At 40.5% G+C, this 15132-nt stretch overlaps 1 protein-coding gene and 1 long non-coding RNA gene across 4 annotated transcripts in view; one reads left to right on the top strand and one right to left on the bottom strand.

Annotated features, from left to right (window-relative positions):
• Positions 1–3980: 3980 nt before the first annotated feature.
• NDNF-AS1 (NDNF antisense RNA 1) lies at positions 3981–14358 on the bottom strand. Its single transcript, NR_187407.1, has 3 exons — positions 14140–14358; positions 11856–11970; positions 3981–5597 (listed from the first exon to the last, which is right to left on the bottom strand). It is a non-coding gene; the product is annotated as an NDNF antisense RNA 1 (long non-coding RNA).
• Positions 13185–15132, top strand: part of NDNF (neuron derived neurotrophic factor) — a 36923-nt gene continuing 34975 nt past the window's right edge. Inside the window, exon 1 of one of the 3 annotated variants that reach the window (NM_024574.4) lies at positions 13185–13727. The gene's annotated coding sequence lies outside the window, so the exon portion shown is untranslated. Of the gene's footprint in view, positions 13728–14281; positions 14532–15132 lie in introns of those variants that run through there. The other 2 variants (XM_024454212.2, XM_024454213.2) reach the window with 2 other exon arrangements.

Raw genomic sequence — 15132 nt, 5'->3', positions numbered from 1 at the left:
AGAAAAAGTTTTCAGTTTTTCAGCATTGAGTATGATGTTAGCTGTAGCTTTGTCATAAATGGCCTTTATTTTGTTGAGGTGCATTCCTAATACCTAATTTGTTGAGCATTTTATCATGACAGGATGTTGGATTTCATCAAATGCTTTTGCTACATCTATTGAGATGACCATATGGTTTTTTATTCTTTATTCTGTTAATGTGTTGTATCACATTTATTGCTTTGTATATGTTGAGCTATCCTTGCATCCCAGGGATAATTCCCATTTGATCATGGTTTATAATCCTTTTCCTGTGCTGTTGAATTTGCTTTGCTTGAATTTTACTGAGGGCTTTTACATCTGTGTTCATCAAAAATATCAGCCTATACTTTTCTGGCAGTACCTTTGTCTGGCTTTGGTATCAGAGTAATGCTGGCCTCATAAAATGAATTTGGAAATGTTACCTCCTGTTCAATTTTTTGGAAGACTTTGAGAAGGATTGGCATTAATTCTTCTTTAAATGTTTGGTAGAATCTTTAGTCACTTTATGAATGAAATTTCACCAATAAGAATAAAGCCAATCTAAAAATTTGAATTTCTTTTATACAGGAAACAATATGTATTTTGTTTCCTGTATAAAAGAAGAGAGAAACCATATCTGTTATCTAAACAGAGAGAGTTTTATATAACCAATTATCAAAAACTAAAAGCAAATGGGAACAGAGGTAGCAACTGAGAAAGCAATTACAATCCCTGTCCTGGAGCACAAAGGGAAGAGGTGGAATTGTCAAAACCTAGAAACTTAGAGTTAGAACCATGGACGGGCTCTGTGGAGCTGAAACTGGTATCTGAGGAAGAGGCCCTGAGTAGGCTAGTGTTACTGCCTTCGAGCTGCAAAACAAACTTCTACCTCGAGGACAGGGCACTGGTAAATTGGCACCGACGTCTCTGAGGGACTGTGATGAAGCTAGTTCTAAAGCTTGGGAAAACTGTGAACTGGAGTCAACAGCCGCTTCTACAAAATACTGCCACTGCCAAGTAAATAACTATAGCTACATTGAGGGAGACAGGAAGAGGATGCAAAAACAGAAGTAGGAATAAACTAGGAAGCACTGAGGAAGAAATGCATTATTTGTCTCTCCTCCACCTTTGCATTCTCCCTCCATAATCGCTGACTGGCAGAGCCTAACAGGAGCAGCTGGCAAAACAGAAATGTGTTTTGTAGAGTTTATCCCCAACACCACAAAGCAGGGTAGGGAGAAGCGCATTAAAAATTAAGTGAAAATAGCTTAACCCTGGGCACAAAATGTTACATAAAATTCAAAAGGGAACCTCATACATGTTCAGATTTTGAAAAAACAGGTGAACAAACAGAAAAAAAAAACCTGAACCCTAGCAATGAGACAAAAAAATGAAAAGTTCTACGTTGTTTTAGAGAGACCTGTGAACTTTCCCATTTCTTAAAACATTGGTTAATGGAATGTTGACATTATTGTCTTGTATACTTTTGAGGGAACAACAATATGCTAGAAGAGTTAAACAAAACACTGTCATATTACTTTTATGAAGAATTAATTAAGTGGAATATAAATCATTTCTCCATCTCCACTCTAAAATGGAACTATTCTGCTATCCTAAATGAATTTTTTTTCTGTTCAGATGCTTGAATTAGTCGTTTCACCCATTGAGAGATGCCATACAAAACCAAGAAATTGTGTGTTTTCTTTAGGTTAAAATAAATTAAGATGGCCTTTAATTTGGTTCTTCTCATTCATATTATAAAAATGTTCTAGTTCACATGAACAAAGATAGTACAAGAAACCCACACTAGCCCAGTAGCTGTTTGTGTTTCTGTGAATGTGTATACCTATGTTAGGGTCTAAGAGAAATGAAAGGAAGAATTAAAGTAAAACTGTAGATTTCTTCCTTTTCTATCTGACCTAATTCTGTAAAGCTCAGTTCTACACATATTATATCTTCAAAAGTACATGAAATTGGGGGCATTCCAAATTAACATCACCTCTTTTGAATTATGTCAATGACTGTCTGTTGAGCTTTTGAACATGTAATTATAGAGCTGTGGTGGGTTAAAAATGGCCACAAATTCTTTGCAGTTCCTTTCATCAGGGGTGGAGACTGATTCCTCACCTCTTGAATCTGAACCAGGCTTGTGAGTTGCTTTGTGAGACCAATAAAACGAGACAGAAGTGACAGTGCTCAGCCTCCATACCAGGCCTCAAGAGACCATTTCCTCATCTCTGCACCCCCTTCTCCAGCCCTACCCCATTGCAGGCCTTGGGAAACACTGCCCGTTCCTCTACTGTATTTCTTCCCTCCTTAGAATCTTTCAGGGCTTCCCTCTACTGTGAAGGATAAGACAAGATCCCTCCTGCCTTCCATATTAGCCTAGGAATATCACACTTCCCATGCATGCAAAACAAGAAGAGAATTAGATATTATTTTAGGTGGTTCTATAGCAAATATTTTGTATAATATGTATGAGGTAAAAAAATGTAACCCACACATAAAACAGATATTACTATTTAAGTTGTTAATTTTAAATAAGCTATTTAGTTAAAAGAAGATCTACAGCTTAAACTGAGTAATAGTAGAGGCTGTGTTCAAACACAGAAAACTTTTGGGGAATCCTGCTTTAAGGCAAATTGGTTCAAGTCTCACTTGGTACAAATACACTATCCAATTCACTTTATTTCCTTTCACCAAAAGGATCCCTCTAACTTTAAGATCCACCCTGCTTCAGCTTTCTGTTGCCAGTGAAAAAAATCAAGCAGCTTTTTAAAGCTTTCCTAACTAACTAGTAGCAAGATGGTAATTTTGGAAATATGCTACTCTTACCCCCCATCAATATTATTGTGCTTCTCCATTCTATTCATATTTTCTCATCACACAAGTTGTGGCTTTTTTATGTTAAATATGTATTGTGGTAGAAAATTGCAAAACATTTTCATCTCACTGCTCTGGGAACTTCTCTTTCATCTTCAGCCTTTCCCATTTTTCTATAATTCGTACCCTATGTAGCCCACTTTTCTGGCATTACTTCTAGTTTTAGTGCAGAGTAACATATTGTCCCTTTTTTCCCTTAGATTTCTCAACTCTTCTAGTGCATTTACACTGCTTCTCATTATTTTCTTGCCTTCTTCATCTCTTGCATGCTCTGCCTCCATGCTCTTTACTAATTATCCTTAACCCTCATGATTTTACCTGTCATTATTATCCCACCACTATTTTAAGCCCTAACCACTGTCTCCTTTTCTCTTCACTCTTTTCTCTCCTTTTTCTCCTCTTACTCAATGCCTTTATCCTTCATTTTATTGTGTTTCTTCTACATTGTGACCTGTTGCACTTACCTTGAAATCCAGAGGAGAAGCAAATAGAAGGTTTGTAAATGTGTTGCTGATGTAAAGATAAAGGGAGCCAGACACTTCTAGTGCTTTTGAAGTTCTTTTGGCATTTGAGTCCCACTTGATTTGTGTGACTGATTCCCTTAAGAACATTCTTACTCAAAATAAGTTACAAAAATTCTGGTCTAAAATTGATTGGATATAAGATTATCCTTAGTCTTTGAATGAGACTCTGTTTAACACAAATTACATATTCCTTACAGGTCAGTGTGCAATTTCCCACATAGATAAGGTCTTTGAAAAGTCCTTTCAAAATCAGAGTGATTTTCTCATGTTTTGACAGATGTACAAATGAGTTCTTTTGAGTTTAGTGTTTCAAATGACCTTTGAGTTTCAAGCCTATTTGAATTTTCATTATGTTATTCTCTTCTTCTAATTGCAAAAAAAAAAAAAAAAAAAAAAAAGTCCACCCTCTAAATTTGCAGTTTCTTCAAAATAGGAATTCCCTCAGAGTTTCACTGAGTAGTTTCAGCTAGGCGATTGAAAGTGACAGAATACCACTATGATTATCACATTAATAGAAATTATGGTCTTAGAAATAGAGAGAGCTATGGATAAAATGCTATGGAGACAAAAGAGAAATATTCAAGGCTCTATGTTTGGTTATACTTTTTGGACAAGAAAACATTGAAGGATTACATGGAAGGAATGGAGAGGATTTCGACTGGGTACATTTAAGCTTACATTAGAAAAATTCAAATTTTTCCTTTATAACACCAAGAGTTTTCAGAGTTACATTAGACACTATTGGTATGGAAACTGTTTTCCCAAAATCATTTCAGTGATTCAATTACCATTTATTTTCTAGAAAAAATGGCCCTACTTCTTTTAAATGACCGGAAATAATGCATTTTTTCTACAACAGAGCATAATGAGGGTTGAGAAGTTGCGCCAGAAAATGAGAACAGTCCCTGTTTCTCTTTACAATCCACGTACAGATTTTTGCATTTTATAGTGTAGTGATTCATTTTTGATCTAGTTTTACAATAGAATCTGATTTGGCACAATGAAGTAAATATTAACACATTTCTTTCCTAGATGTGGTATTCAAAAGTAGAAATGTGACAAAATCCAGTGTTAACTGGTCTAATCCAATAAGGAATTTAATACATTTGAGTCTGATAACACACACTGAAAAGCTTAACATAATTTTAAAATAATGCTATTCTACTAAAGTTTTATTTTCTCGAGGGAAATTTTTTTATATGCCAAACTACTAGGAAACAGTTAAAAATGGTTGTTAAGATGACTGGACTTGGCTTATTATTTCTTTCTTCAGTTTATTCTCCACATTTGTGAGTGACTACCTTGAATCCATTTCAAAAGGGGAGGAGCGAGTATAATAGCTGAAAGCACTGCCTGGGTTCAAATTTCTTGGCTAGAAATATGACAAGTTCTGACAGCCTCAGTAGCATCATCTCCAAAATGGGAATTCTAATAATTCCTACTGAAGATTGCTCTCACAAGGACTAATAAGCAGTGAGCGACAACAGCAGGCACTTAGAAACCACTCAATAAATAAGTGATTAAATGGCCAAAAGGTTAAGGTGGAGATTCCCCTCCTTTTTTTTAAAAAAAAAAATAACTAAGTTCTAGGGTTCACAGGTTACTTGTAATAGAAACTGGTTGAATCAAAGGTATATATAATCATATGCCTACTTTTTATGAGCTGCACATGTTGAGAGTTTTAAAAATTGTGTCAGCCCTCCTATTCACTGCTTTTCATAGAGAAGTTAGTTTTTAAAATGTCTTTAGGAAAGGACTCATACTGTGTCAATGACAGAGTTTAAGTGATTTTCAAATAAAAGAGAAGACTCAAGCAGCTAAACCAGTTTGGACTATTCCACCTCCCTCTGGCTTAATCTTTGAGATTTCTGACCTTAGAGGTTTGTGGCTAGAATTGATGGATAGGTACACTTTTGTGAAAACACTACATGTGGTTAGATTTGCTCTTATATGGTGTCAACAAGGAGACACCAAATCAAATTCTGTGGTAAGATCCCTTTTTAAATAATGCCCATTAACATGACAGCAGCAAAAAGGAAAAAAAAAGAATCTGTGAAATTAGTTGATAGAGGCTCCAAGGAATATCCTGGGGCAGCTTGAGTTGGTTCAGAACGCAGGCTTTAGAGTTTGACAGAATGAGACTCCGATCCCTGCTCAGCCACTGATGGCCATAAACCTCCGTTTTCTCATCTGTGAAATGCAAATAATGTCTTTTTCACTGGTTGTTTTTGGAATAAATTTGTAAAGGAAAGAGTTTTTGATTTGTTACATTTTGTCAAACCTGAAATTAATCATTTTGGCCATCCTAACAAGCAAGGTCTAAGTGATTCCTTTTGTTTTATTTTTTCACTTACAAAGTACGGTTTTCTGATTAGGGAGAAGCAATGTTTTATTTGAACAGAAATTGAATCCAGGGAGTAAAAATTGGTGATTATTATATAGGCAATTGTTTAGTGCCTATTATATATCACATGCTTTACATATTAAAAATAGTTTAACCCTAACAATAACCTTATCAGAGAAATTTTATTATCCCCATTTTACAGATGAGGAAACTGAACTTCAGAAAGATTAAATAACTTTCCAAGTTCACACAGTCACAAAGTTATTAAATGTCAGTGCAGGAAACTGTACCCAAGACCTCTGGCTCCGATGTCTGTGTTCTTTCCACTACATCTGATGCCATTCAGCTTCAAAACATTTAAAAAAATAACCAGGCTTTATGTCTGTGTGGCCTTAAGGCTGTATGATATCACTGGCACATAGCTATCAGGAACTTGGGCCAAACTGCTCACATGAAAGAGTGTTCTTCTTTAGCTGTGCCTAAACAAGCCATGGGATGTAGAAAATAAAGCAATTATTAAATGAACTCAAATTATAGGAATGTATTAATCACACAATCTCAAACTCTCTGTTATATTTAAGGATCTATCTCCACCCGTTTCTTTCAGCCCTTTTCATACTCTAGGCTGGCCCAGTATTTTCTCATCTCTCTCTTTATTTTCATGTATGCATAGCTTTAGTACCCTCCCAACACTGCTGCTAGCTTAGGCTTGCATTGACTATCATTGCTACATGATTGATACAGTGCAGGCTCCTGGAAACAGCCATCCATGCTGCTTTGGTCAACGAACCTGGACCACAGAATAGTTGTTGGATCACAGGCTGAGACTCAACGTTATCAGTGGATTCCTTCTTCTAGAACACAGGAGGCGGTTAGGAAATGTTTTCAGTATTGACATTTTAAAAAATACCTCAGTTTTTCCATCATGTAAATGATATAGTGTAATACACTAATTAGTAAAAATGTTCACAAGAAATGGGATGATGGGTGGATATATACTCTGAAGTGAAAACAAAACAGGGATTTTTATATCAGAGGAACCCATTAACTGCAATCAAGAGAATGTCTCTTTTACAAACCACCAGAGTCCTTCTTAAGTGTGGCAAATGGCATTTGCCTCATTGCTTTATTCCTTTAGGTTTTACTCACTGCCAAGAGGATGAAGCCTGTACCTCTACTAACATGGTCTCTCCAATTTGCCCAACCTAGGTATCCAGTTTCTTCTTCTGTTAACTTCGTTAGCAAAATCCATCTCACCAAATGATTCTATTCACTGCCTCTGAAATGTACTTTGGTTATTTCCTTCCTGTGAACCTTTCCTGGACGCCATTTCTGTGGTTTTGATGCTCTCATCCTCTTCTGTACCAAATCAAACCTTTCCCAGTGGTGAATAAGTTACATCCTATAATTCTTAACACTCCTTTGGCTGTTATCATTTGGCATCTGATGCTATGAGTAATATTTAAAAGCCAAGTAACTAGTCACTATCATACTGTGGGCAGGAATAATATCTGTCTTTTTAATAATGTATCTTCAACATCTGAAATATAACAGGCATTTAATAAATATTTACTGAGTGTCTAAAGGAAAGAAAGAAAACATATCTAAACTCATCTTACAGACTTTTTCTGGGCAAATACTAAGTTTTAGATTTTTTTAAATCTCTTTTAGCACTGTGCTCAGTGACTTGAACAAAGTAAGAATTACATTATTTTTTCAATGTCCTAAATTAATCGTTGGAAATTCAAGCAAATTGCATTTGAGGGCTTAAATATAATTTTTAATCTTTTATTTTAATCCAGTGCTTTTTTGTAAGATAGTGGCAATTCCGATTTAAGTAAGACATTGTTAAACGTACCATAATGATCTTAAAACATCCCATTCTACTTCCTGAACAAACTAAAACAAGGAAAATCGGTTGATCTTATGTACATATTTAAAATTAGGGTGATTTTTAAAGCAATAGTTAATTTCATAACATTTCCTGAATATGTCATAGTCTATGCTGTTCCCTTTTCCTTCAAACCCTTATTTACCCCACACTTCCCTCCGTTAGCCTAGGATGACTGACCCATCCTTCGGATCTCTATTTAGACGTTACTTTCTCCAAGAATCCTGCCCTAAGGCCGCACTCTCACCTTGGTCATGGACTTACACACTGCCCCATTCCCTTAAGATATCACCTGCTAATTGCTTAACTCTTCACTACACCGCAGGTTCCTCAGAGCAAGGGCCTCATTTATTCCTTTGTTCCCAGCAGCGAGCAGAGGGCTGGCATATAACAGGTGCTCAGCAAATGTTTATTAAGGGAATAAACACCCTCAGGAAGAATAAAAGGTGACTCAGACTTGATGTTTCAACTTTACATTGGCTAAGTGTGTAAGAGGTGTCAAATTACAGATAATCATTAATTTTTAAGAGACTTTAGAGAACTACTTCTTGAACTGTTTAAAGAAGAGACTGAAACTGAACCAACAGACAAAAGACTATCTGGTGCTAGTATGATCCGGGATGTGATACTGTTTTATCCAAGCTTCAAGATTTGCAGGATGGTTTCTATCGGTTCTGTTGTCCCAGCCCCCAATGTAGAGATGTCGACTATAACACTCTAGAAGTTTATGTATAGAAGGATCTATTTACATTTGTGTAAAATGAGAATTGTATTATACAATACAACTGAGGTGATGGCCAATCCATGGGCAGAATATTATCATAAGCTTCTGATGATCTTTCAACCTTCTTTCATGAGTGAGCCTAGTTCATATGACAGTCGTTCTTAGGGCCACTTGACAGTCTGAAAATTATTGTGGACCCCAAGGAGTTTTTGTTATATAGGTTATTTCTTTCAATAGTCAACCTATGAATTACAACAGAAATCTTTAAAATATTTATTAATTCATTTAAATAACTATAGTAAACCTACTGCACATTAAAGTAACATTATTTTCCAAAGAAATGTTTTACATTTTTGTTAATCTCTTTAATGTCTGGCTTAATAAAAGACAGTTGAATTCTCATATCATGTCTGTTTTCAATCTGTTGCAATTTATTTTGTTTGAAGTATATCTTCAAACAAAGGAAAATCCAATTTTTCACAGATATGTAGTTGGAAAATGAAGAAACATTTCAATAATCTTTTCAAACAATTCTGGATATTCTTCTTTAACGTGACACCATAACTCAACAAATGGTAGTTTCTTAAACCTTATAATTGCAGTATGGAATATGAAACCATATCAGTTAACTTTTCATACTGTGTTACATTAAAACCCGTTCGTCTATTTTGCATTTTGAATGGATCCTTATGCGTGATTTTAGATCATGATGCATTATTAGTCATTTGGAAAATACTTGTTCATTGAGCTATGCAGTTCTTCCAAATGTTGATATATGTCATTGTACGATATCTAAAACCACATTCATTTAAATGATCACGATCTTACTAGGAAAGACTTTAAGTACTGGGAAACTGTCAAGCTCATGGTGACAAAAACAAGTTTTAAAAATTCTAATTTTTTACTCAAAAGTTCAAGTTTTTCACTGGAAATAAATATTGCTGTTTGTTTGCCTTGAAATGACAGGCTGACTTCATTCATTTGTTAAAAAATTTTTTTAAAAAAGTGTTTGCTAAGTATCCAAGTCTGAGTAACCATAGTTTGTCTGTCAGTTGTTCTTTCAAGTAAAAATATGTCACATAAAAAAGCAGGTAGTTTAGCTCACAAATCAATTACATAAATGTCTTCGTTCAGGATAAACAACTGCACTTTAGTATGCCACAGAAGAGCTTTATTTGTGCCTCCCAGTTTGCCATACGGAATATTAAAAAGACATAGTCAAGAGTTGAAATTTAATAAAATAAGTATTTTTTACTGCTTCATCAAAGACATTCTTAAGCGAAACTCATATTTGGGGCAGTAAAAAATACAATAACTACCAGGATAGTTGGGTGCCACTGCTTTGAACATGCTAAGGTGCTAGCAGGTTTACCCACCATTGCTTTCGTATCATCAGTGCAAATGTCAACACAGTCAAAGAAGGCAAATTATGTCTTAGAATTAATATGAAACTAGCTTTGTCCTTGCAGACCTCCCCTGAAAGGATCTCAGAAACCCCCATGGGTCTACGAACCCCAGTTTGATGACTGCTGCCTTAAAACATAGGTTTCAACCAGTAGTTCTCCTAAATAGACTTAAATTCACTCTTGGTTTTATAATAGTTTTTGGCTTTTTCCTCCAATTGCATATTTAAGAATTGCCTGGTTTAAAAGTAAATGCAGATATAAATATGTAAATATCTTGCAAACACTTGAATATGTTATACTATCCAATCCTCACAAAACATCTGTAAGTCAACTATAATTTATTCCATTTTTATATTTGAAAAAAGCCACTGATGCTCAAAGAGGTTTTGTCCTACAGCAAATAATTTTCAGAGTCTAGAATTAAATATAAGCCTGTTTGGCTAAATAACATATGTTCTATCTAATATGGCACATTACCCAAGTCTCTCAAAACACTGAAGATAACTTACATATATATATAAATATAAATATATACAATGCCACTGGTTTTATCGGTGGCTTGTTTTTTTAGAAGACAGAGTATACTGATATATGCAAATCCTGATGTTCAAAACACAGATATTTTGATGAATTTTATGAAATTCACAGAGTCCTTACAGAACTTTCCTACAGACTCAGGTCTGTCATTAATTGCCTGAATTAATGATGTCTCTCTAACATCATTAGCACTCAGTTTCTTCCTAATGGCAATTTTAAATCAATACCCCAATCACTGGTTCATTTGAATTCCCAATCAACCCTGTGAAATGCATGGGGGTAGATAGTGTTGCCCCAATGTACCAAAGAGGGAAGTGATCCTCATATACATGCAGCATAAACTAAAATTGCATTGGTCAAGAATACCAAGACTTTTTGTAAATAAGAGCAGCAGCTTTTCAGTCTAGTTGTCTCCATCTGTCTGCCTCTTTCTACCCTGGTCACTAGCCCTGTCCTCCCTTGGCTTCATTGGTCCTACTCTGTTGCCCTTCTTCTCTGGTGTTCATCCCTTTCTTTTGCAGGGTCCTCTTCCTTCATCCATGTCTAAGACATTGGTGTCTGCCATGTCCCATCCTAAGTCTTCTCTTCCTGGCTGCCTTACTCCTCCCCCATGCTTGCCAGACACCTGAATGTATCCTTCCAGCTCCTGTCTACCCTCCTAGGAACTTTCCTTTTGGCTGCCTAAATGGCAGGGCACTCAGATGTCACAGAGGCACCCCCAACTCCACAAGTTTAAGACAGAACTCATTACATTCCTCCTAAAACTGCTCCTCTCTGTGTGTTTCTCTTGGCTAGTGGCACCATCCCTGCCTTAGCGCACCAGCCAGAAAACTGGGAGTCAGTCTAGACTCTCTTCTCTCCATTACCCTCTATGTCCAATCAATCACTAAGCCTTGTCTATTCTATTTCCTAAATATCTCTAGAGCTGTCCTAACCTCCCAAACAGCATTTCTGCTGCCTTGGTTCAGACCTAATTTTTCCTCTGGAAATAACCTCACTGTGATCTCTCTTCTATTTGTCTTGCACAGTGAAACCAGAGGAAACCTTCTAAAACACATTATCTAATAATACTTACAAACCTTAGAATCTGTCCTAGCTTAACACCTTTAACAGTTTCCCAACTACTCACCACCTCCAGGCAAGTTCTGGCTCCTTACACCCAGAGAGCCTTGTGTGGCTTGGCCTTGCTTACTTCACCTGCAGTCTAGCCGCACCTAGTCTCCTAGTTTCCAGGACACACCATGTACTTTGACACTTTCCTAACCTCTTCACTTGCTTCTGTTTGTGGAATGCCCTCCCCCCTCCACCACATCCTTGTTGGCCTTGTATTTCTTCCTTGTCTTTCAGAACTCTACACTGAAATCTCTACCAAGAGAAGCTTCTGAAGGGGAGTTAGCTGTTTCCTTTTCCATGCTTCCACAGGACCAGGTACCTGCACTTATTATAGTGCTAATCACATTTTCATTTATGCCTCTGTCTCCTCACCAGGCGGTGAGTTCCTTAAAGGCAGCACCATCACCTCTAAATCTCAGCACATAAGACATACCTGGTACACAGCAGGGACTTCGTAAGCTTTGTTAATGAATGACCCAGGGATCTGCTCTAGATCGTATCTCCTAAGTGGAGATACAATGAGGACTTTTCTCACCTCATTGTCTCATCTGCAAAAAATATGCTTGCACAGTGATCTGAAATGTCCTTTTCAGTGTTTAAAAATTTTACAAAACTATTTTATGTCGTGTAAACGGTTTTATAAATCCATTTCCTGCAGTGTTTTCATCTAGGAACCACAAAACTTTAGGAGCTGCATTGGTCCACCCTCTGTGACCAACTGTTTAGCAAAAAAGATCATAGTTCTTAATATGACCGGGATAAGGCTGATTTTCATCCTACCTACCTTAATTTCATTGTGGCAATAACAGAACTAGTGTTTTCAATACTGACACTATATCTTAATAAATAATTATATATTATTAGAACTTATATAAAACCAGGTTTGCTGGAAATCAGGTTCTCAGTTGCAAAAATGAGATCACCAAATCATTCGGTACTTTTTTTTTCTTGGTTTTCCTAAGCCCAGGCCAGGTTGCTAATTAGGTAACTTTTTATCATAATTACCTAGTCAGCCTTAATGGCTTCACACACTCTGCTCCGTTTCACTGGTCCTGTAGGGCCGCTTTTTCAATTGTTAAAACAGCTGCTGAGTTTCAAATCGGAGGAGGCTCGGTCTGCGCCGAGGGGGAAGCGCTCCCTGAGTGAAGGCTGTGATAGGCAGGCGTTCGGGTGAAAAGTGGGACATGAATGCACAGTTTGCACACTCTGCTTTCCGCCTCCAACCACCAACCTTCTGGATTTAACACGTCCCCCTCCCTGCCCCCAGATCAACCCCAGAGTTTCCCTCTATTGTGCACCCCGGTCTGCTTGACAGTGTGATGGTCCCGCGTGCGCGTCTCCTGGGTTTTGCAGCTTTGTCGGGGGCTCGGTGGGCCTCCTTCATTCTCCCCGAGTGGCGCTAAGGTTAGGACAGCAGCGTGTCCCTCGCGATGCCGCCCGCGAGGGTCCTGTTTGGGGAGCGCTGGGTCGCTGAGCAGGGTGGTGTGTGTGTGAGAGAAAGAGAGGGAGGGAGGGCTACAGGGAGAGAGAAAAGGAGGGAGAGGGTGTCTGTGTGTGAGTGTGTGTATGTGTATGAGTGTGTGTGTGTGTGTGTGTGTGTGCGTGCGCGCTGGCGCGCAGCGGGAGGGAGAGAAGGAGGGACGGAGGGGGAGGCAACGGGCAGAGGAGGGAGGGGGCGGGCGGGCAGCGGTGAGGCGGGAGGGGTTAGGGCTGGGAGGGGAAGAGACTCCGGGCTTCAGCAGTGACACTCGGGAGCGAACACACACTCCCCACTTCCAGCCGCGAGAGAGTGGAGCTAACTGAGCAGCGCACCCGCCACGGCCGCTGCCGCCCCGTGCGCCCGGCTCTCCCAGCACCCCGCGCGGCGCTCCAGCCAGGCGCCTGTGCGACTAGCGGCGGCCGGCGAAGCCCGCGCCAGCCCCGCGGGTCGCTGCGGCATCCTCCCGCCGCCCAGCCCCCGCACGCTCCCTGCAGTTTAAAAGGACCTCCCGCCGCTTCTCGGCGCTGCCCCGGGATTCCCCAGCCCCGCGCGGCTCCCTACTCCACTTCGCAGCAACTTCGGCGACCGCGCGCCGCCCGCCCTCGCCCGCCTTTGAAGTTTGCTGTGCCGACCGCAAAGTTGGGACACTTCAGCGGATTGAATTTTTCTCTTTTATCTGCCTCCGTCCCCGCCCTCCAGGCTTCTCGTTCCTGGATATTGGTGCTTAGCATCTTGGCAGGGTCCGGGGACGTGGACTATTTCGCACACCACACCACGGGGAGGGATTTTTTTCTATTTTCCCTACGAAAAACAGATCTTTTTAAGGTAAGTGGGGAGAGGAAAGCAATGCCCCAGAGACCCGACGCCTTAGCCCGCCACCCTGAGACCTAGCACAAGGAGCGTTCACGCCCGAAGGGTCATCCGAGATGGGGGCTCGAGGCACGCGCCCCCAAATCTTCAAGGCCCAAGAAGCTTCTCAAGGGCGCCCTATCCGTAGGAGCTGAGGGCATGAGGGGCAGGAGCAGGTTTCCCTCGTTTTTTTTTTTTTATTGTTGTTGTTGTTTGTTTGTTTGTTTGTTTTTAATTTAGCTGCTTTCGAAGCTGGGCGGCCCGGAGAGATGTGAGGAGGTGGACAGACAGCGCAAGGGCGGGGAAGACCTGGGACCCGGGAGCTCGGGGTGCAGTGGGGTCTGGGGAGCCGCGGAGCCTTTATCCCGGACTTAGCCTGGACACTTACTTTGCCCGCCTGCCAAGAGGGCTGTTGCCTCCCTTTCCAGGTTCATGCCCTCCGCCCGCCGCTAGGGAAAGTCTGCGGGACTGGGGTTTTGCAGAGGGCGTCTGCGTGTAGGGCGAAAAGCTAGAGGTCCAGGCAGCGCACGAGTTCTTGGTGGGCGTCTGGGAGCTGCGCAGCCGGGGCCGGGAGTTCGGTTGGCCCGACCCCCAACCGCTCTGGCTCCTCATTTGTCCTCTGCGTGGTAGGCGAGCATCGTTATAGAAACTTCCTTGGGCTGAGCGAGGTGGCCTGGGACCGGCTCATACTTTCTTCCGGAGAGCAGAGCGGCCACCGAGGTGACGCCCCCTACGGCCCCAGCCAGGAGACTCGGCTTCGTGCCCTCGTCCTGTCTGTGCGTGAGTTGGGGTTCGCTCTCACCCGCGCTACCTTTCTAACTGAGCGGAGTCGCCGCGGCCCCGATAACCTAGGAGTCCGAACGAGTGATTGCAGGTCCCAGCTGTTTTCTTGGAGGCACTTTGCAAACTGCTGAATTTGGAGTGCGGTTTCGTTGCATTGTGCGCTCTCGGTTCACCTTTCTGCCCGCACCCTATCCCAGGCCCAGGCGTGAGAGCTCCCGGCAGTTCCCCGGACCCGCCCCGCATCAGCTCCTCGGAGTTTGCCGCGGGCACCTCTACGCTGTCTCTGAGCTGTCCCTCCGGCCAAGTTGCGGTTCCCCTCCTGGCCCCCTTCGGGGCGCTGTCCATTTCTTGCTCTTGGGTACGGGTGGCTCCCTAAAACCAAGACCTTGAGCGGGAAATGAACCTGAGTGTATGTCTGGGTTTTGTTGTTGTTGTTATGTTTTTTCCTTCTTTTCTTTAAATTTATTTACAGAGTTCTTTTTAGCAACTTTGTTGGGTTGATAAATTTGCTTCTCATCTGTCGATCCCGCTAAATCACAAAGAAGAGTTTATTTTTTCATTTAGTTGCTGCTTTCCCCAAACACACTACCCTCTCTTT

This window comes from Homo sapiens, chromosome 4 (genome assembly GCF_000001405.40).
Source record: "Homo sapiens chromosome 4, GRCh38.p14 Primary Assembly".
NCBI classification, from domain to species: Eukaryota; Metazoa; Chordata; class Mammalia; order Primates; family Hominidae; genus Homo; species Homo sapiens.
The sequence above is the reverse complement of the archived record's forward strand: the minus strand, read 5'-3'. Positions and strand labels throughout refer to the sequence as shown.